A 22,524-nucleotide genomic window follows, 5' to 3' on the forward strand; every position below is an offset into this window, starting at 1 on the left:
ATATTATCGCAGGTACCATAGACTTTCCTAAGGACCCTGAGGAGCTGGGGAAAGATCAAGATGTAGATACCTGGCTTAATTGCTTCTCTCTGTTGCTGTATCACAATGTCTATTCTGAAAGCTGGCTTCTTACAGTGTATTTCCTTCAAGTCACTATTCCAGATTCATTTTCCTCCTACCCCATCCCAGTGGCATGGAGCCTTATCTTATAACCCTTCCATTCTAGGACAGGAAAGAAGGGCTTGGAGAGGGTGGGGGTAATATCCAGAACCCTGAGGCTGTTCTCAGGAAAACAGGGGTGGAAGCTCACATTCTCATCCTAAACATTGCTGACACTAGGGCTATACTGTGTGAAATTCACTGCTGCTGGACTTTGGGTAAAATGGTACTTTTGAGAATTGGCTGAGAATCATTGTAGGGGCCCTTCACGTTCTGCAGAAATCCTTCCTTGTGTCTAGTGTCTTGCGTTGTAAAGCTGACTTGACTACTGCGTGGCCTTGGGAAATTGCTCAGAATCAGCCCCCTCATCAGTAACATGAAAGGGATGGATTTCTGTGATCCTTCCTTACCCTATTTTGTGATTTTTTAAAAAAGTTTTTGTTATTTAATGCATTATTATTTCTATAGCATAAAAATTATGTGTTTCCATGTAAAAGCTGTAGCTTTTCCAGAATTTCGGCAAACTTTAGGAGTTGGATTTTAAATTTATTTTAGTTACCTTCTGAGCTAATTTTAAGATTATTATTTTCTCATTTTATGGAGAAGAAAATAAGGGTGAATAGAAATCACTTGACTTCCCTGTGGTCATCATGTGGACCAGAGCTGGGCAAAGAGTTCATTCTCTGAATTTTGTAGATTTTATTATTAAGATAGAGCATTCAAATTAAATAAAATGCAATTGCCACTAATTCAAAACTAGCTTAGTCTCATAAGATTTGAGATTTGAAACTTATTGAAATGCATTATTATTTCAGCAATTATTGGGATATAGTTGTGTGCTTTGTGGCACTCTGCAATACTGGGGGTTGGATAAAACCTGCCTCTGCTTTCAAGGCTCTTAATAGCCTTGGGCCAACACAGGCACCCCAGTTACCATAACACCAAACAGATCCTACTTGCCATGGGAATATAAAGGAAAGTGGATAGAGAAGACAGAAGTGGCTCATTCCACTGTGAAATGTGTATTACTATACTTTTTATGTAATCTTTTTTTCCATTTATTTGAATTTAGTGGAAGGAAGCTGAAGGAAAAGAGTTCCGTTTGAGATCAGCAAAGAAAGCTTCTGCTCTTTCAGATGCGTCTAGAAAGTGGTTTTTAAAGCAAGAGATAAATGCGGCTGTAGAACATGCTGAAAATCCATGTCATAAAGGTGAGTGTCTGAGAGGCCTTTCTCTCCATGATGTTACAGATTTATTCTTTTAGTAGGGTCTATTATTATGATTTTTTTTTTTTTTTGAGATAGGGTCTTGTTCTGTCACCCAAGCTGGAGTGTAGTGATGCAATCATGGCTCAGTGCAGCCTCGACCTCCTGAGCTCAAGCAGTTCTCCCATCTCAGCCTCCCAAGTAGCTGGGACCATAGGCGTGTATCCCCACACCTAGCTAATTTGTTAAATTATTTGTAGAGATGAGATCTCACTATGTTGCCCAAGCTGGTCTCAAACTGCTGGGTTCAAACCATCCTCCCGCCTTGCCTCTCAAAGTGCTGGGATTATAGGCGTGAGCCACTGTGCCTGGCCAGTGAATAAATTATTGGGATGTATTTTGGCACTTCTATTCAATCTACTGCTCAAGTAAAAGGTAATCACTGGTTACCATATTTTTGGTGGGAAAGGGTGGGCTGAGGTGGGACTATTACAGAAACAGAGTCCCAGTCGAGGAAAAAGTTTGTGCAGACTGTCCTGTGGAGTTCTGTTTGATTCTGTTGCTCCAAGGTAAAATATGTACTTTGCCAAAAGCTGGTCCTCAGAACAACAGTATATTCAAGTATCACATGGAAACTTCTCATAGGATTTGATCCAACATTAGGTTTCGATACAAGGCTTACAGTGGCATCAACTGAAAAATCAAAATTATAATTTAAAACTGTAAAATACCCTGGAGGCTGAGGCGAGAGGATCTCTTTGAGCCCAGGAGTTTGAGGCTGCAGTGAGCTATTATCACACCACTGAACTCTAGCCTGGGCAACAGAGAAGACCCTGTCTCTTTAAAAAAAAAAAAAAAGATTTCCAAAAATTATAGAGTACAGTTAACAAGGAGCTTTTATTTTACTGTGTTTTATTTTGTTTCAGTCTTTTATAATGTGTATACATTGCTTTTTAAAATAATAGCTTTGTTGATACATAATTCACATGCCCTATAATTCACCTTTTTTCTTTCTCTTTTTCTTTTTTTTTTTTTTTTGAGACAGAGTTTCGCTCTTGTCTCCCAGGCTGGAGTGCAGTGGTGCGATCTCAGCTCACTGCAACCTCCACCACCCAGGTTCAAGTGATTCTCCTGCCTTAGCCTCCTGAGTAGCTGGGATTACAGGCCTACACCACCATGCCTGGCTAATTGTTTTATTTTAGTAGAGATGGGTTTTCGCCATGTTGGCCATGCTGGTCTCGAACTCCTCACCTCAGGTGATCCACCCGCCTCGGCCTCCCAAAGTGCTGGGATTACAGGCGTGCCCAGCACCGCACGCAGCCTAATTCACCTATTTAAAGTGTATTATTCAATGTCATTATATTATCATGTACTAAAAAATACACTTACATAGTCATGCAGCCATCACCACAAGCAAGTTTAGAGCATTTTTCAGCACTTCAAAATAAACCCAGTACCCATTAGCAGTCACTCCCCATTTCCACTCACTCCCCCAAGCCCCTGGCAGCTACTAACTACCTTGTGTCCACTCACCTATTCAGGAAGTTTCATGTAAATATAATCATGTAATATATGGTCTTCTGTGTCTGGTTTCTTGTACTTGGCATAATGTCTTGAGATTCAACCATGTTGTAGCATGTACCAGTACTTCATTCCTTTTTATTGCTGAATAATATTCCATTGTGTGGATATTATGTATTTTTTTAATCTATTCATCAGTCGATGGACATCTGGATTCTTTCCAATTTTTGGCTTCATGAATATGCTATGTGCATTACTTTTACATTTCACAAATTTGAAGAGTGAAAATATAGGTTAGGTCATTTAATTATGCCTACCTTTTTTTTTTTTTAAAGACAGAACTTCACTCTGTTGCCCAGGTTGGAGTGCAGTGGCACGATCTTGGCTTACTGCAACCTCTGCCTCCTGCATTCAAGAAATTCTCCTGCCTCAGCTTCCTGAGTCGCTGGGACTACAGGCGCATGCCACCATGCCCAGCTAATCTTTAGTAGAGATGGGGTTTCGCCATGTTGCCCAGGCTTGTCTCGAACTCCTGGCCTCGAGTGATCTGGCCACTTTGACCTCCCAAAGTGCTGGGATTATACCTCACCCGGCCAAATCATGCCGACTCTTAAAACCACTCATTACCGCTCATACTTGAGATTTAGTGGTCCCAAATAGCACCAAGAGTACTTCAGGGAGGTGGAGAGGAGTAGAATGTGACTCTGCACGAATTAAATATTTAAAACTGGCTTACAAAAGATACTAATCATGGGAGCTGTCACTTCTCCCTCACCCTCTCACACTTACCCTTGTTTTTTTTTTTGGTTGTTTGCTTTTTTGAGACGGAGTCTCGCTTTGTCGCCAGGCTGGAGTGCAGTGGCACAATCTCGGCTCACTGCAACCTCCACCTCCTGGGTTCAAGCAATTCTCCTGCCTCAGCCTCCCAAGTAGCTGGGACAACAGGCGCCCACCACCACGCCCAGCTAATTTTTGTATTTTTAGTAGAGACGGGGTTTCACCATGTTGGGCAGGGTGGTCTCAATCTCTTGACCCTTGTGATCCTCCTGCGTGGCCCTCCCAAAGTGCTGGGATTACAGGCGTGATCCACCGCACCCAGCCTTACCCTTGTTTTAGAAAGAAAAATAGAAAATCTTTAGAGAGCTATCTACGTAGAAATAGAGAAAGGTAAGAAACTGTGAAAAGCTTTCGTCATCGGTAGTTTTCCTACACCTTTGCCCCTCTGCCTCCATGATGTCTTCCCTTCGTGCTAAATTTTTTTTGGCAGACCAGTCAGCCATGTATGTTTTTTAACCTTGCTGAATTTCACCAATAGAGATAATTTGATTAATAAACATCCAGTTTTCAAAAGTCTTAAGTTTATGACTGAATGATGTGTCAGTCATGTTCTTAATCAGGGTATATAGATTTAATCAGATTCATTTAATCCTAAAAGCAGGAGATAATCACCTACCATTAAGAAAATGACATTTTTGAGCCCGGCGCGGTGGCTCACTCCTGTAATCCCAGCACTTTGGGAGGCCAAGGTGGGCAGATCACAAGGTCAGGAGTTTGAGACCAGCCTGGCCAATATGGTGAAACCCCCGTCTCTACTAAAAATACAAAAATTAGCCAGGCGTGGTGGTACACACCTGTAATCGCAGCTACTCAGGAGGCTGAGGCAGGAGAATCGCTTGAACCCAGGAGGCAGAGGTTGCAGTAAGCCAAGATCGCACCACTGCACTCCAGCCTGGGCGACAGAGCGAGACTCCATCTCAAAAAAAAAAAAAAATACAAACCTATATGTGTTCAAAAAATACACATGTTCAAGACCTCACCAATAGTGATTTAATTCAGTAGATCTAATAATAGTAATAATTCCGTCAGTAGCTCTAGGGTAGAAACTAGGGAGCTAGATTTTTGTTTTAAAGTTTCACGAGTGAATATCCCCAGCCAGTGTTTGAAACATTGCTGGAGACAAAAGGTAATCATTAGTTGTTTGAACAGAGATAATATTTACAACACAGCCCTTTGGGAAGATGAATTGAACAGGAGTGGGCAGGTTGAATTTTGGAGGACAGATGAGAGGGAGCTGTGAGATCTCAGCTCTGGCTGGGCACGGTGGCGCCTGTAATCCTAGCAATTTGGGAGACTGAGGCGGGAGGATGGCTTGAGCCCAGGAGTTCAAGACCAGCCTGGGCAACATAGTGAGACTGCCTCTAAAAAATAAAGAAACAAAAAGATCTGAGGAACCACACCTGATTCGCGTCTTGTCTGTGCAGCAAATGTAGCAGTGGCCAGCGTGCTTGTGCCAGAATGCTGGTAGACTGGGAAGCTCGTGACCTTATTCCATTTGCTACAAGTATTTTATTTTGGAGTTATTTCTGGCCAGGCGCAGTGGTTTACGCCTCTAATCCCAGCACTTTGGGAGGCCAAATCATGCCTACTTTTAAAACCCCTCATACACCTGAGGTCAGGAGTTCGACCTGGCCGACATGGCCAACATGACCAACCTGGCCAACATGGTGAAACCTCGTCTCTACTAAAAATAGCCGGGCATGGTGGCGTGAACCTGTAATCCCAGCTACTCCAGAGACTGAGGCAGGAGAATCGCTTGAACCCAGGAGGTGGAGGTTGCAGTAAGCCGAGATCACGCCACTGCACTCCAGCCTGGGGTGACAGAGCAAGATTCCGTCTAAAAAAAAAAAAGTGTTATTTCTTAGTAAAATAGTTCAATCTGCTTTTTCTTTTCTGTTTTTCTTTTTCCGCTGAGTTCTGTCCGCAGAAACCGTTCTCTGGAACAGTGCAGATTGCAGATTACGTTTACTACCTCCGCCATGTCCCGCCCTTCAGATGTTTGAAGATGACTCTTAGATTCCAGTCCCCCACCAGTTCAAATTAGTCATTGGTGATTAGTCACATTACTTTAATGACTCATTGAGCTAAAACTATGAGGTAAAACCATTAGCTAAAGCTTTTCAGAGAGGTAAAAGGCAGACATCTTACCGATTTAATGAGACTCCCAGCATTCTGGGCTCGACACATGGAGCTTAGATGCTAGCGGTGGGAGTAGAAAGGAAGGGACCATTATAAGCCATGTCAGGATGCAAATGTTTTTAAAAACACCTTGGTGTCATACTGGATGTGCTGCTGTAGGAGTTAGGGAACAGTGAAAACACAGCTGAGGGTGAGTGTAAGTTTTGAGATGAGGAGAGTAATTGATAAAAGTAGGGGAGGCACCACTAGTTGCTAGGGCACTGCCCTGCCTGCTACTCTAAGAAGGGTTCGGGTAAAACTTGCCTATGGCTGGCTCTGATTTGCTGTATGTTGTGATGAGGCCCTGCCTAGCTAAAACCAGTAGTGATCAGCTCATAATAGTTTCCAGGGAAGCCTTGCTGATCACATTTCGTAATCTCTATCTTAATATCCATATTTTTGAGTTTGTTGGCTTTTTGTTTTAGCTGAAAGTGTTTTTAAAGTACGTTTTACAGAAATCAGCTCAGCTCTTAATTCTCACTAATGACACTTCCTTGCCTTTTGAATGTTGACCGCATTCTTCTTAAAATAGAAAAGAAAGGAGTTTTTAGCCATCCTTGGTGATTGTAACTTACTAGGGACCATTTGGAATTAGTAAGCCTTTCTACTCACTCCCAAACATCATCTTAATCTCCTCACTTTTATAACAGAAGAACCCAGGTTCCAAAATGAACAGGACTCAAGCTGTTTGCCTAGAACCTCACAATTAAATGACTCTTCTGAAATGGATCCCTCAACACAGAGTAAGTTGATAAGCAAGAAAATGTTATTCTGCCATTTTAAATTTCACAATATTTAAGCAAAATTGTGGCTTAAATTATATTTATAGCATGTGGACGCCATTTTCCCAGGGCACTGATAATGGAAATCCTAAAAGGGAGGCAGCAAGATTCTCTCAGATTCCTCAGTGGGAGAACTGGGTGCAGACCAAATTCCAAGTAAAGAAAATGTGCTGAATCCACTAAAGCCACTCCAGTTCTTGAGCACCAGCACTGCTGCCCAAAAACATAGTTGGAGGTTCTAACAGAAGTCTCTAACTAGGTTGATAATATGAAATTCATAACTATTTTGACATCCTTGTGAAAAAAAATCTCAGCGTTGTTTTTCAAAGCTATTGCATAGTTGAATTTTCTTGACTCTGTTCATTTGGGCTGGGCTCCCTCCAACAACCATTGAAAACATGTGTCTGCCCTGGGCACTCCGATGGAATTCTGGGCCCCAGCAGCAGTAGAATGGCCAAAGGCAAATGGCTTCATGCTGATGAGCTGACTTTTGATCCCTGGACGTGGTTCATTGGAGGGTTTGGGGTTTTTTAGAAGGGACAGGGTAGAAACATCTTACAGAAATGTAATCACAGCATTAGGCCATCCATAAAGAAGCTAACAATCTTCCCAGTAAAGTATATTATTTATTTTTAAAAGGGAGGAGGAGAAAAGACACTCTGTTAAACTTACTTTCAACTATTTTTTTTCAATAAAATTGCCATATAGATGAAGCAGTATTTAACAAGATCTTTTGACTTCTTTTGGAAGAACAAACTTTTATACAATGTCCCAAAAAGACGAGCTTTATAAGAAATATGCCTAATACCAAGTCATGAGATTCCAGTATTGTGTAAAATATTTTTGCTAACTCACATTTTTATATGCATCTATAAATTCTGTGCCAGAATATGAATTAAACCAAAAATCATTCAAGAGTCAGATGAAGTATGAGAGATTCTCAGCTACTCTCTATTCTGACATATCAAATGGTTATTTGGCAGCAAAATACAAAAGCATGAAAGTTGTATTTCTTTGGGAGGAAAAACAGTTTTTCAGAAATTGAAGCTGACTGACTATTTGAATATGTAACTAAATTTCAGAGAAGTATATTTTTAAGGGCTTTTAAAAAAAATTTCAGTGTTCACTAGCCCCTCTAAATCAGTAACGCTCTTACACTTGGACATGTTGTAGTATTTTAATCTTGATTCTGGACCTTCCTGATATTAGCCAATATTAAAAAGCATTTGATTTACTTATTTTTATTTATTTATTGGAAAGGTAATCATGGTGTATATTTCACAGTTTTATGACTTGGAATGCCTTTTCTCATTACTATTAAGCATCATTGTGAGGAAGCTTACAGTTGCACAAACTCAAATTCTCTCTTAAATTAACAAGCTTTGTTTCTAACTTAAGATTGTTTGTATCCCAAGTATTTCAAAGCAGAGAAGTTCTCTGTTAGCATTCATTCAGTCCAACAAATAATTATTTGGCTTGTAAATGGAACCACCTAGGGCCAGGTTATATGTAAAATTTAGGTTTTAGAATTGCATTTCATTATTTGTTTTTACAACACATTTATCTTTAAAATAAATGCTGTATCACCGCTAACATCAGAAAACTCAGCTTTTCTAAATTTTAAATTTCGTTTTCAAGTTTCTTTAAATAGAAGAGCAGTAGAATGGGACACCACGGGACAGAATCTTATTAAGAAAGTGAGAAATCTTCGCCAGAGACTCACTGCCCGGGCTCGTCACAGATGTCAAACCCCTCATCTTTTGGCTGCATAGAATGCATGTCACCTTGAGACGGTCGAGAGAGAGACCTATTTTGCAATCAGTGACATTGATTTTTAGATTATTTATTTAAAATTCCTATAAAGATCAGCCCTTTGTACAGAAAAATGTGTCTATAAAAATTATGTGTTATTTAATTCTGATACTTTTTGGCTTGTAAATGGCTTCTTGAACTTTTTACAATAAAAATGTTTTAGAAACTGTTAAAGCTGTGTTAAGCTTTCAGGTTGCAGGGACCAGCATAAACCTCAGTAACTTTAGTTGATAAAGGTTTATCTTAAAGATGAATAGAGAAATAAAGAACAGGAAACCATCTCAACAGCTCTATAGCCTGGACTGAGGGAGAACTCAGCAGCAGGTGGAGAGCGCCAGCAGCGTGGAGTGGCCTATATCACCATCTTCCTGCCCACCCCCGCCTCTGCCAGCGGGACCCCCTCTTTGTCAGGGACCCCACCGGACTTGTAACATCTCATCTCTGCCCAGCTCCTTCTGCCCTCTGCCTGCTTCTTCTGGCAGCACCGACTGCTCTTCCTCCCTCCCTCCACTTCCTAGCTCCAGAGTGGGGCTGCTTGTGACTTCCTGAACCTTACTCTCTAAAAGGAGGGTAGAAATACTTGATATGACGATTCAGTAAGATCAGGCAGGCCAGACGTGGTGGCTCACACCTGTAATCCCAGCACTTTGGGAGGCTGCGGTGGGTGGATCACTTGAGGTCAGGAGTTCGAGACCAGCCTGGCCAACATGGTGAAACCCTTTCTCTACTAAAAATAGAAAAATTAGCCGAGTGTGGTGGCACATGCCTGTAATCCCAGCTACTTGGAAGGCAGGGGGAGGGGAATCACTTGAACCCAGGAGGCGGAGGTTGCAGTGAGCCGAGATCACGCCACCGCACTCCAGCCTGGGCAACAGAGTGAGACTCCATCTCAAAACAAAAACAAAGATCAGGCCTAAAAAGTTCCTGGCCCAGTGCTTGACACATAGTAAGTATATAATATGTAGTACTAATTATTTTTTCTGGGGCCACGAAGCATAATCTTATGGTTTATCAAATATTTTCAGCAAAGTGCTCTCTTGCCCAATAAGCAAAGTTCTAAAATGATCTCCTGGCATTATACACGGCATTGGTTTCCCAAGAGTATTTTTCTCAGCCTAGTTTTCCATACGTTTTTAGGTGACTGCAAACATATGCCTGCATGGGCCAAGCTGGTGTGTGTTTTTTGACAACAGGAATCCCAGGATATAGAATATGTAGAGTGTGATGGGAACTTTGGTAGACTAGAATTGCCTGCTCACCGGAAAGCATTGAAATTCTAAAATTCTGTGGTTCTGCCACCCAGAAACAGCTGTCTATTGCAGTTTTTTACCTCTATTTCAGGTCCTCTTTGACTAGGATTTATACCTAGTCAGGTCTCTTTTGCAGCTACACACGCCACATACGCATACAAAACCCTCTTTTTTATATATAGAACTGCAGTAGTTAATTTTTGAAAAAAGTTCCTGTTCATTCAGTGAAAGTGCACTATGAATGCTCTCACCCAAATGAAGTTCTTTTTATCACATGCTTCCAGTTGTCTCTGAGCCTACGTTTCTCCAGTAATCTTGATGCAATCACTGCCTTAGCACGTTTCAGATACTTGGTTGAATCCCCTCAGTCATATGTGCTTGGTTGACATTGCAAAGGTTATCACATTTAATGAAATATGTGAAAGACATTTCTGATTATTTCTTCCTGCTTCTTGACATTATATCTTCAATCTTCAATTTCTTTATAATGTGAATTCTCTGGAATTGAATAGGGGCTGAACTTGGCTAAAATTCCTTGCTACATTCAAAAAGTTTCTCTCCATTACTCCCTTGAGTTTGTTAAAGAAGAGCGGTCCCTATAGGCCTTTTCATATTTATTACATCCATAAAGTTTCTCTCTGGTGTGAATTCTGCAATGTTGGCTAAATGTTGGGCTTCAGCTAAATCACTCTCCACATTGGGCTACATTTGGAAAGTTATTTTCCAATATGAATTCAGTGGTGCTAAATAAGTTATTAAGTTGGTTAGGGGCCTTTTCAAATTTATTTACATTCATAGAGTTTTTCTCTAGTATGAATTCTCCCAGGTTGAGCAAGATTTCGGCATTTGTAAAGGTCTTTCCACAGTCATTGCATGTGGGTCGTTAACAGCAGTTGACTGCAAGGACTGCATAAGGCTTAATTTATTAATATGGGTGTGCTTATCTGAGAGTCTGGATTTAATGTTTAATCTCATTGTATCAGTCTGGGTCCAGTCAGGAAGCAAACTACACAGTTGTTTGGATAAGGAAAGTTTAATGTAAAGACTAAACTATGATGGGAGCAACTATGAAGACGTAAAGAGAACTCTACAGGGTATGTAGGACTGAGGAGAGTACTCAAGGAAGGACAGACTTGGAAGGGAGGCTCCTCCCTCCCCCAGGCTTAGGTCAGACCTGGTCAAAGAAGGTGTGGTTGCAGACCACTGGATACTGGGGAGGGTCTCAGAGTTGGCCAGGCCAGGGGTAGTCCATGTCCCCAGGCAGCAGGAAACAAATCTGGGCACAGAAAATCCAAGGCTGGTAAAAATGCACAGGGAGGCAGGGCATAAGGACCCCGCTTGTCAGGGTAGTGTGCAGGCTGGCCATATCCAGAGAGCCACAAGAAACCACCCTCAGGCACAGGCAAACAGGCCAGCAGGCAGGTGCTCAGAGTGCATCAGGGTGGTACTGCTGGCATGAGACCCGGAACATGCCAGTGTCCATGCTGGGAAGACTATAGTGACATGGTCATTGGGCTAGGACTGTGAAGTCATAAGGCAATTGTGCACACTAGGCACATGGTTGGGGCAGAGCACGACTAGATGTCCCCCATGCACACGCACCACTGGTGGGCCGTGAAGCAAGAGCAAGAGTAAGCCAAACAGCACATTGGAGCAAGGAAGAGAAGCCTTGTTTCTCCTGCAGTGTCCTTCCAGCACCCTCTATTGACAGCTCAGCATCATGCGCATTGTAAGGAGAAATACCTCAAGAGCCCAGCCCATCACTGCAGACCTGAGATGATTGATAACTGCCACGCTTATACCATTGAAAGTGGCTCCACAGTTTACTTGGTTGGTTGACAGGAATGTGGACTCAATGTTGGCCTCTATCTAATGAGACAGATGCCAGAATTTCCCTGGCATGATGTGGATGCAGGTATCCAAAGGCTCAGGGAGGTAGGAATGTAGGGGTGGATTGATCACATCTGGCCTCCTCACTCACCTCCCAATGCCATGCTCTGGGCCCAAAAGCTACTTCCTTTATGAAGGCACTGAACAAGGAGCACCCCCAAACCTGAAAAACTCTGTGGTGACTCATGCAACAAGACATGATGGTGAGAGATGCCACCACCACAGATGTGTTCCCTGGTTTCAGTGGGAATAATGGAATTCTGGGGCAGCAGAGGCCAGGCAGAAGCATTTAATTACCAGACAACCATTTACAGTAAAGGGCAGCAGGGCGGTAGTAGTAGTAAAGGATTTGGGGCTACTGGTAATTGACTACACTGTCCCTAAGAATGAAATAGATAGGCAGCCTACTAAAATGTTGCTTGAGATATGTAACAGGAAAAACTCCAGACCTGGTAGCCGAAAAACTGACTCGAGTCATCACCATGGAGAGTCATACCTGTCACCCAGTTTCCAGTATGAAAATAATTCTCAGATCCAAAGCCTCTTGATTGAAGGGGAGGCCAGGTCCCCCTGAGGAAGGACCCTGAAGCAGTGCCACATATACATGCTTACGAGTATTCTTTAACCCTTCCCCAAAGAAACCTCTTGCCATTTACTTGAAGGATTGCATACTAGGGAAAAGAAAACACCCATATCTCACAGGGATTACTAAACATGGTTTCTGAATTGACACTAATTACTATGGCCTACCAGTGAAAGTCACAGCTAATGGTGGTCAGTTGATCAAAGGAGTCTTGAGCAAAGTTTGAATTACAGAGGGTGAATAGGGCCATGAAACCAACCCGTGGTTATTTTCTGAGTACCTGAATATATCATTGAAATAAACATACATGAAAAATGGCAGACTCTCCTCGTTGGCACTAAGACCCATTGAGTAAGAGCTATTATCCTAGAAAGATTCAAGTGAAAGCCCCTGGAATTTCCTCCTTACCAGGATAGTAAACCTGGTTAGTAAAAAGTTATCGCAATTATCCCCAGGGGCCGGGCGTGGTGGCTCACACCTGTAATCCCAGCACTTTGGGAGGCCGAGGTGGGCGGATCACCTGAGGTCAGGAGTTCGAGACCAGCCTGGTCAACGTAGTGAAACTCCGTCTCTACTAAAAATACAAAAATTAGCCGAGTGTAGTGGTACGTGCCTGTAGTCCCAGCTACTCGGGAGGTTGAGGCGGGACAATTGGTTGAACCTGGGAGGCGGAGGTTGCAGTGAGCCAAGACCATGCCGCTACAGTCCAGCCTGGGCAACAGAGTGAGACCCTGTCTCAAAAAAAAAAAAAAAAAAAATACCCCAGGGAAATTGAAGAGACTCATGCCACCAGCAAAGAGTTGAAAGATGAAGGGCTGGTTATAGCTATTCCATCATAATTTAATTCGCTGTTTGACCTGGGCAGAAGGGAGATGGATCTTTGAGAATGGCTGAGTTATCAAGAACGTAGCAGGTGAGGACCGCAGTAGCAGCGTCTGTTTCAGATGCAGTCATGACACAGCTTCCGGCATATGGTATACCGCAGCTGCCTGCATGAGCTCCCTGACACCCCTCTCCCAGACCCTATCATGACCTGCATTTCCGGATAGGTTCAGTGCCCACCGCTGGCCTCTCTCATCAATGCTGCCTACCCATCCCGCAGCTCCCTCGCCGGCCCACACCGTGTTCCCAGCCACTCCTCTGTTGCCTCCATTAGACGGCCTTGAACTCGGCCGCGCTCGCAGCGCCGTCCTGGACTGTGACCACCCGGACTCCTACCCTAACCCAGAGCTGTGCGCGACACCCCCTCCTCCCCCCCGCGACGGCCAGTGCCCAAGGGCAAGGGCAAGGGCAAGGGCGAGGGCAGGTCGAGCAGTCGGGGACTGCTCCAGGCCCTTACACGTGCTCTTTCCTGGACACTCGGGCCGCAGTGCGAGGGTGGTCTTGGCGGGGGTACTTATCAGGTTCACCTGGTCCCAGGACACTCGTCGCAGATATGTCTTTTCCCCTTGTTGTCACCCCCGGACTTTGACAAGCAAACAACGCTTCTTTCCGGCGGGGTTGTACGGACAGCAAACAAAATTATTGTGCCCCGTGTGAGGATCGAACTCACGACCTTCAGATTATGAGACTGACGCGCTACCTACTGCGCTAACGAGGCACCTAGTAAGGGTTTCCGGACGGATCATTCTGAGGCTATACAGCTGGTCTGCTGCGCATGCCCACTTTTACTTTTACTGCTGCTGTAAATCCCGTCCAGAATACTCGGAATTCTAGTTCCGCTGCGTCCTGCCCCTGTCCCGTTTGTCAATTAACAAACACTGTGGCTGGCTTGTCAATGCCTCACTGGGTAGCGACGACACGGAGAAGGGGGATTTTTCCTCCTATTGTTGTGAACCGTTATTTTTGTGTAGTGCGTACAAACCGTTTGCACACTCGTGAACGCATGAAACACTTATCAGGCACCCACTGTGTTCCCGGCCCTGTGCTGGGTGCTGCGTTCACAGGAACAAACCCAGGGTCAAGGAGTTGGGCGAAGATGCATAACGATTGGAAAACACACACGGGCGCGCGCGCGCACACACACACACACACACACACCCGCTGTTACGGCCCCCACTGCAGACCCCAGATCCCGCCAGTCCCCGGACTCCTCCCGGCGCCCCAGGTTTCCACGGCCGCCTGCAGCTCCTCGGCTGAGGCTGCGCTTCGTAGGGGCTGCCGGGCTCCGGGACGCAGTCCTGCAGTCTTTTTCTGACTGCAGGACTGACTGCAAGACTTTCTGACTGCAAGACTGCAGGACTGCAGTCTTTTTCACCACCATTCCTGTGGCCAGTGCCCTGTTGCACACTTGAGCTGCTTCTGATTTTTTCTTCCTTTTTTTTTTTTTTTTTTTTGCTGTTCAAACAGGACTTCAGGAATAACCGTGGAAGCGGTGAGTTAATGTGTTAACTGGGAAGCCCGCTCTCCTTTCCCTTTCACTCCCCTCCCCTTCCTCCCAGCCCTTTATATAAGCTCATTTACCTACATTATTGCTAAAGGAAACTGCGTGCCCCTATCATAAATGGAAAACAGGTAAGGGTTTTTCCCTAACACATGTTCAGATAAATACATACATAACTATTATAATAAAAAAAAAGACTCTTCCACTTACTGTCTAAAATCAGCCAGACAGTGGCACATTGAGGATTTGTACTTTTCGCCGTATGTACATTTATACGGCGTTTATACGGTACATTTATAAAAGGAAATTGAGACAGAACTCTGGGCAAGGCCAGGCGTGGGGACCCCTGGGGAGAGTGTGTGGACGCCCGCGGGTCTGGGTGCCTCCCAGGGAAAGGACGAGTGATGGACAGACCGACGGAAGGACAGGGAGTGGGGAGAGGTTCGTGTGGACCTAGGTGGGTGTGCGGATATTCACGGCACAACTCTGTCAACTTTTCTGTTTGTCTGAAGTTTTTCCTTAGAAAATATTGGGGGTGGAATTTTGTTAATCACCTAGAATTTGAGAGATACGGCGGGGTGTTAAGGGGGCAAAAGGCAGTATGAGTACAAGCAGGTAGGGACATACCATCTTGACAGCAGGCACCACAATTGCTGAGGATAGGCGAAGAGGAATCTCGGAGTGGATGGGGGTGGGGCCTGCTCCACCTCCCAGTGGGAGAAGGACTGGGAGCTGCCGGGCGGGTGGCCGAGGGGCGAGGAAGGAGGAGTTGGAGGTGGGGCAGGCTGCCGGGACCCCAGACCCGGAGACTGACACCCAGTCCTCGGGAAGCTCCTGGATCCCACGGTCTAGGGTGGGAAGCCCAGGACCTCTGCCAGCCTCGGGAAGCGCGCATCCACACGCACCGGCGGGAATCCGACCCAGGGGGCTTACTCCCTGGTAAGGTTGCTGGGGCATCCCCTGCGGACTGCGGACTGGGAGTGTCACCTAGATCCAGCTGTTTCTCCCAGATCTGCAGGCCCGAGGAGATGCTGATTAACATGCAGATTAAATCCCAACGGTCCTGTCTACCACAATTACAAACAGCCCCACTTTCGGGTGTAGCAGTCCCAGGACTGGCAAGCTACCCAACATATTAACTCACCACTTCCACAGTTATTCCCTGAAGTCGTATTTGAACAGGAAAAAAAAAAAAAAAGAAAAAGAAAAAACGAAAAGGAAACAACCCAAGTGTACAACAGGGAACTGACTGGTCACAGGCATAATGGTCTGTCCAGGCTGTAAACAAGAAAAAGGGATGCTGTATGTTGTGACATGAAATGAGCGAAGAACACAACTGCAGAACTAACAAGAGTATGAGACTATTTCTGTAGAAAGGGGTAGATGTTTATATTTGCTAGTATTTGCACACAGAAAGCTAAGATTGCCGGACGCGGTGGCTCACGTCTGTAATCCCAGCATTTTGGGAGGCCTAGGCGGGAGGACCACCTGAGGTCGAGAGTTCGAGACCAGCCTGACTAACATGGAAGAAACCCCATCTCTACTAAAAATACAAAATTAGCCGGGTGTGGTGGCGCATGCCTGTAATCCCAGCTACTCAGGAGGCTGAAGCAGGAGAATCGCTTGAACCCGGGAGGCGGAGGTTGCGGTGAGCCGAGATCGCGTCACTGCACTCCAGCCTGGGCAACAAGAGCGAAACTCCGTCTCAAAAAAAAAAAAAGCTAAGATCAATGATTAATACGCTGAGGGGTGGCAACTGTATGGTTGGAGGTAGGGGTGAGAGGAAGACTCTTTTTAAAAAAAATACACTTTATTTTCTAAACAGTTTTAGCGTCACAGAAAAATTGCAAAGATAATAAGAGTCTCCATAAAGCCTGCACCCAGGTTCACATATTATTAGCATTGGTCGTTGGTATGGGTTGTTTGTTACAAGTAATGAACTGGTGTTGATGCTTTAACTAAAGTCCATCTTGACTCAGATTTCCTTAGTTTTCACCAGGTGTCCGTTTTTCTGCTCCAGGACCTCATCCATGACACATTACATTTAATGGTCCTGTCTCCTTAGGCTCTTCTTGGCTGTGACAATTTCTCAGATTCTTCCTGGGTTTTGATGACTTTGACAGTTCTGAGGAGTACTAGTCGGGTATTTTGTAGAATGCCCCTCAATTTTAACATTTGGCTGACAGTTTTTCTGGGATGAAGACTTTTCACTGTATACCTTTGAACAGGTTTTTTAAAAACATACTTGAACTATGTTAATCTATAAGCTATTTAAATGTTGACGTACCTTAATTTAAAAGGCGAACTGTAGGAATTAGAAGAAAAGGGAGGAGAGGAGGGGAGGGAGAGGAAGAAGGGAAGTTGGGGAGGAGAAGGAGAAAGAGAGAGAGAAAGGGGGCAGGGGAGCAGGAGGAGCAGGAGGAGGAGGAGGCTACCTGGAGGGGCTGGGCTGATCCTGCCTTGGGCCCACTCTCCCGGCGACCTCCCGGCTCCCAGACCTGGCTGAGCCCGGCGGCCGCCAGGGGACGCTGTGCCCAGGGGTTGCCGCCGCTGCCCCGCAGGTTTCGGCTTTTTCCAAATTAGCCTAGGGACACACCGCGCCACTAGCCGGTACAGGGTACCAGGCCCGATCCCCACGCCAAGGTGGCCCCATCACCCAGACCTGCCCAGGGAAGGGAGGTAGAACAGGAGTTGGGGGTGGGGGCGGTGCAGATATTTCGCTCCGTAAAGTGTCTCCAGCTTTTAAAGATGTATGTCCCCAATTTTCCAAGACCTTCTGAGCCTTCGAGTGGAATGAAACTCGAACGGCTTCCCAGCTGCGGCGATGAGGTCCCGCTCCTGCAGAATCCCGGCAGGAGCGGAGACTCGGGAGGGGACCGCTGGCTGCAGGCGCCCTGCTGGAGTCCGGAACGAGGGTGGTCAGGGTCGCCTCCCCACGGGGTCGCAGATGAGGGAGTGGGGCCGCGCAGGGAGGCTCCTGCAGGCCGTGACCCCCAGGCCTGGCCCGTAGAGAGTGACTGATGGCGAGGACCCGCTGGGGACCCGAGGGCCTCAGCCTGCGCCTGCGCCGGGGCTCCCCGACCAAGACCTTCCGGCCCCCAGGCCTTTGCACCGGCAGCTCTAGGCCTGATGTGTCCTGCCCTCAGGCCCCTCTGTAGAGACGGGGATGTCTTCCTTGCCCTACGTCAGCCGGGTCGGAGGTCACCTACCCCCGCGAAAACCTGATCCCCATTGCCTTCATCTGCCTCCTTCTCCCACCCTCCTCCCCAGGCTGAACGCGCTCCTTCCTCCCAGCTAAGCGCCTTGCCGGCGGTGGCTGATTTACTTCCACTCCTAGAGCAACCCGAAGGGCTCAGTGCTTCAATTGCCCCTCACTTACGAAAGCGAAACTCAAACTCAAGGTCAGGCGACCTGACCAAGTTCAAACGATCACCGCCCCCCTTCTCAGCAGTTTCCAAATCCTTTTCCTCACTTGCATTCCCTAAAATAATGTTGAAAAACTTCTGGGCATCTCCTCTCATAATGTTAAGTTGATATCAAAACAGTTTCATTATAAACAATTGCAAAAGACGTAATTACCAGTGTATGTAAATGGTGATTTTTTTAAAATATAAAATTGAGTATATGACATTTAAAAATATACCCAATGGGCCCGGTGCATTGGCTCACACCTGTAATCCCAACGCTTTGGGAGGCCGAGGCGGGCGGATCACCTGAGGTCAGAAGTTTGAGACCAGCCTGGCCAACATGGTGAAACCCCGTCTCTACTAAAAATACAAAAAATTAGCCGGGCGTGGTGGTGGGCGCCTGTGATCCCAGCTACTCGGGAGGCTAAGGCAGGAGAATGGCTTGAACCCGAGAGGCGGAGGTTGCAGTGAGCCGAGATCGTGCCACTGCACTCCAGCCTGGATAACAGCGTGAGAGTCCGACTCAAAAAAAAAAAAAAAAAAAAAAGTACCCAATGACATCTATATATGCTATGGATTCCATACAAACCAAAATCTATTTTGAATATATATAAATATGTCTCCCAACATTTGGAAAGTTTACATTTAACTGCCTCCTTGAACTCATTTCCATTCTACTTCCCCCCACAGAATACTATCCCCCTACAGTACATATTTTATGTTTGAATGCGTTCATTGATCACCTAGCATGCCTCTGAGCAACAAAAAATAGAGTTTATTAGAAGCCCATTTTACAGAGTGGAAAGTGTATCTGTGTGTGTGTGTGTGTATGTGTGTGTGTTCTGGGAGGCGGGCTCCTGGCTGACTGAGCAGGGTAACTTAATGGAAACCTGTTGAGAGTGATTCCTTTTCCCTTGCGGCAAATGGACCCAGGCAGGGAGACCCCCAGCACACCCAGGCAACCATCCAGGCCCAGGTGATGAAAACACATCCTGGCAGGTGGTTACAGAGAGCTAAAGGAGGGAGCCATGTGGAGGCACATTCCACAGACACAGGACTTGGGTCTGGCTGTCAAGAGAAGCCAAGTCACTCCAAACAGGGATGAGCAATGTCCAGAAACATTCCAGTGCCACCGCCGGGGAGGAAAGCAGGAAAGAGGGGCCTGTTTGGATGAATGCAATAAATTCTGGTTTTGCTTATTTTCAATTGCACGAATAATATGTACTAATTATAAAATATACGCATACAGCCATGCTGTATTAGTCAGCTCTTACTGTGCTAATGCCGCTTAACAAACCACCCAAAACGTAATGGCTTAAACAGCAAGCATGTGTTTTCCTTTTTCTTTTCTTTTTTTTTAGATGGCGTCTCACTCTGTTGCCCAGGTTGGAGTGCAGTGGTGCAATTTCAGCTCACTGCAACTTCCGCCTCCCAGATTCAAGCGATTCTCCTGCCTCAGCCTCCTGAGTAGCTGGGATTACAGGCGCGCCACCACACTCAGCTAATTTTTGTATTTTTAGTAGAAACAGGGTTTCACCATGTTAGGCGGCTCTCGAACTCCTGATCTCGTGATCTGCCCACCTCAGCCTCCCAAAGTGTTGGGACTACAGGTGTGAGCCACTGCGCCCGGCCCATTGGGTATATTTTTAAATGTCATATACTCAGTTTTATATATACTCGGCCTCCCAGAGTGCTGGGATTACAGGCATGAGTCACCGCACCTGGCCTTTTATTTTTTAAACAGCTTTACTGACATATAATTCACATACCATATAATTCACCTATTTTAAGTGTACAAGTAAATGAGTTTGGTTATCCTATTTTTTTTAAATTGTGGTAAATATATGTAACACAAACTTTATCACTTTAACCTTTTTTTTTTTTTTTTTTGAGATAGAGTCTTGCTCTGTCACCCAGGCTGGAGTGCAGTGGTGTGATCACAGCTCACTGCAACCTCCACCTCCCCAGCCTTAGTGATCCTCCCACCTCAGCCTCCCAAGTAGCTGGGACCACATGGGCGTGCCACCACACCCGGTTAATTTTTGTATTTTTTGCAGAGACAGATTTTTTGCCATGTTGCTTAGGCTGATCTTGAACTCCTAATCTCAAGCCATTTGCCCACCTCAGCCTCCCAAAGTGCTGGGATTACAGGTGTGAGCTACTGCACCCAGCCCATTTTAACCATTTTTAAAAATTTTTTATTTCAATACCTTTGGGGGGTACAGGTGGTTTTTGGTTACATGGATAAGTTCTTTAGTGGTGATTTCTGAGATTTTGGTGCATCCGTCACCCGAAGGAGTGTACCCAAAGTGTAGTCTTTTATCCTTCACCATTTTAACCATTTTTAAAGTTTATAATTCAGTGACACTAAGTACATTCATAGCATTGTGAAACCATTGCTACTTTCTAGCTCCAAAACTTTTTCATCACCCCAGACAGAAACTCTGTGCTCATTAAGCAATAATTCCTCATTCCTCCTCCCTTAGTGCCTGGTAACCTCTAATCTATTTTCCATCTCTATGTATGTATTCTAGATATTTTATATAAGTAGGAGCTTGCCATATTTGTCTTTTTGTGTCTGACTTGTTTCACTCAGCTTCAGGTAAGCACGTCTTTTTCTTGCTCATGAATCTGTGTATCAGCTGGGTTCAGCTCCAGGCTGAGCCTGGGTTCAGTCTGCTCTTCAAGTCTTCGCATTCTCCTTGGACCAGCCATTCACTAAGGTATATTCTTCTGAAAGAGTCACAACAGCCCAAGGGACAAAGCCATGCCAAGGAGGCACATTTAAGGCCCCTGCTCTGGGTATATACATCAAAACTCCCTTGGCCCAAGCAAGTCACATGGCCAAGTTCAACATTACTGGGGCAGGGAAAAATACTCAGCTTACTGTGGCAGAGGGTGCAGAGTCTCAGGCCAAAGGAAAGGAAAAAGAATGAAGAATAATCCAGGCCAGGCGCAGTGGCTCACATCTGTAATCCCAGCACTTCAGGAGGCTGAGGTTGGCAGATAGTTTGAGGTCAGGAGTTCGAGATCAGCCTGGCCAAGGTGGTGAAACCCCACCTCTACTAAAAATACAAAAATTAGCTGGACATGGTGGCATGTGCCTGTAATCCTAGCTACTCAGGAGGCTGAGACAGGAGAATCTCTTGAACCCGGGAGGTGGAGGTTGCAGTGAGCTGAGATAGCGCCAGTGTACTGCAGCCTGGGCAACAGAGCGAGACTCCATCTCAAAAAAAAAAAAGAATAATCCAATGTGCCACACATATAGATGTACACAAGTCAAGTCCCCTCAAGTCACTCCTAATACTGTTCCCCTTCCATAGGGAAGCCCTGTGAGTGGTCTTCCTACACACAAACATAAAAATAAACACTTGGGTTTTAGGTATCTATGTAAGATCATATGGTACTTATTGTTCTGTGACATTTTCCACTTAACAGTAAGCTGGACCTCTTTCCTTGCCAATACATAGATATCTTCCCTGTTCTTAGTAACTGCAGTAGTGTCTCTGAGGAGAGGAGATCTGGATACAGATACACACAGAGAGAAGATGATAAGGAGACCCAGGAGGAAGGCGGCCATCTACAAGCCAAGGAGAGAGAATGCAGAAGAAACCAATCCTGTCAACACCTTCAACCTAGCCTCCAGCATTGTGCAGGAATAAATTTCTGTTGTTTAAGCCACCCAGGCTGTAGCATTTTTGTTATGTTAGCCCTAGCAGCCCTAGGTCTTCTAATTCTAGAACATCTCATTCTTCCCAATTAGTAACAAATACTAAGTGAACATCTTATGCATGTATTTGATAACAAATGTCTACGGAGCTTGTGGACAGCCAAAAAATCTGTGCTGTCCTAGATTCGGCAGGTTTGCTCTTTCACCCCAGGGAACCCAGAATAATTTTCCGTCTCCCTGAGGGTGAGGACCGGAAGCCCCGAGAATGGCCTAAGCCGAGCCAGGGCATTCACAGGCATCAGGAGCTGGGGCTTCGCTTTTCACTCCCGGCCTCTTCCTGCACTTCCATCCCACCCCGCCACAGGTCACTGTCTCCATCTGCTTGGCAGGGGTCACAGCTGGACTGTGGGCTGCATCTGGCCTGGCCACAGCCACAGCCTGGCTTTCTTGAAACAGTTCTCTGCAGGGGCTGCTCCAGCTGGAGGGACGTCAGGGTGAGTTGGCTCCAGAATCTATGCACACCATGACTCCCCTCTCCTTTCCAGTTCTCTCTGCTTAAAATAATAGCCGGGCGCGGTGGCTCACACCTGTAATCCCAGCACCTTGGGAGGCCAAGGCGGGCGGATTGCCTGAGCTCAAGAGTTCGAAACCAGCCTGGGCAACACGGTGAAACCCCGTCTCTACTAAAAATACAAAAAATTAGCTGGGCGTGGCAGCGTGCGCCTCTGGTCCCAGCTACTCAGGAGGCTGAGGCAGGAGAATTGCCTGAACTCGGGAGGCAGAGGTTGCAGTGAGCCGAGATCACGACACTGCACTCTAGGCTGGGCGACACAGCAAGACCCCATCT

At 45.7% G+C, this 22,524-nt stretch overlaps 1 protein-coding gene and 1 non-coding gene across 25 annotated transcripts in view, besides 5 other annotated features; one reads left to right on the plus strand and one right to left on the minus strand.

Annotated features, from left to right (window-relative positions):
• Positions 1-21,688, plus strand: part of TBC1D31 (TBC1 domain family member 31) — a 92,467-nt gene extending 70,779 nt beyond the window's left edge. For 19 of the 24 annotated variants that reach the window (NM_145647.4, NM_001363148.1, NM_001363150.1 and 16 more), the window contains 3 exons: positions 1,232-1,370; positions 6,551-6,643; positions 8,321-8,668. In NM_145647.4, the coding sequence (NP_663622.2) occupies positions 1,232-1,370; positions 6,551-6,643; positions 8,321-8,454 (366 nt within the window). In that variant the 3' untranslated portion in view covers positions 8,455-8,668. Of the gene's footprint in view, positions 1-1,231; positions 1,371-6,550; positions 6,644-8,320; positions 8,669-21,496 lie in introns of those variants that run through there. The other 5 variants (XM_011517379.3, NM_001363151.2, XM_047422429.1 and 2 more) reach the window with 1 other exon arrangement.
• Positions 5,140-6,339: an enhancer, noted in NCBI's record as "BRD4-independent group 4 enhancer chr8:124160865-124162064 (GRCh37/hg19 assembly coordinates)". NCBI's record gives its function as "activates an origin of replication core promoter dependent on BRD2, P300/CBP, MED14 and CDK7 cofactors, and independent of BRD4, by STARR-seq in HCT116 cells {active_cell/tissue: HCT116}" and the evidence as "EXISTENCE:reporter gene assay evidence [ECO:0000049][PMID:35650434]".
• Positions 11,534-11,583: an enhancer, noted in NCBI's record as "active region_27867". NCBI's record gives its function as "activates an Ori minimal core promoter by ATAC-STARR-seq in GM12878 lymphoblastoid cells {active_cell/tissue: GM12878}" and the evidence as "EXISTENCE:reporter gene assay evidence [ECO:0000049][PMID:35858748]".
• Positions 11,704-11,753: an enhancer, noted in NCBI's record as "active region_27868". NCBI's record gives its function as "activates an Ori minimal core promoter by ATAC-STARR-seq in GM12878 lymphoblastoid cells {active_cell/tissue: GM12878}" and the evidence as "EXISTENCE:reporter gene assay evidence [ECO:0000049][PMID:35858748]".
• Positions 13,369-13,678: an enhancer, noted in NCBI's record as "active region_27869". NCBI's record gives its function as "activates an Ori minimal core promoter by ATAC-STARR-seq in GM12878 lymphoblastoid cells {active_cell/tissue: GM12878}" and the evidence as "EXISTENCE:reporter gene assay evidence [ECO:0000049][PMID:35858748]".
• On the minus strand, positions 13,745-13,817 carry TRM-CAT1-1 (tRNA-Met (anticodon CAT) 1-1). Its single transcript has one exon. It is a non-coding gene; the product is annotated as a tRNA-Met (tRNA).
• Positions 17,004-17,233: a silencer, noted in NCBI's record as "silent region_19494". NCBI's record gives its function as "represses an Ori minimal core promoter by ATAC-STARR-seq in GM12878 lymphoblastoid cells {active_cell/tissue: GM12878}" and the evidence as "EXISTENCE:reporter gene assay evidence [ECO:0000049][PMID:35858748]".
• Positions 21,689-22,524: the final 836 nt, after the last annotated feature.

This window comes from Homo sapiens, chromosome 8, assembly GCF_000001405.40.
Source record: "Homo sapiens chromosome 8, GRCh38.p14 Primary Assembly".
Classification (NCBI taxonomy): Eukaryota; Metazoa; Chordata; class Mammalia; order Primates; family Hominidae; genus Homo; species Homo sapiens.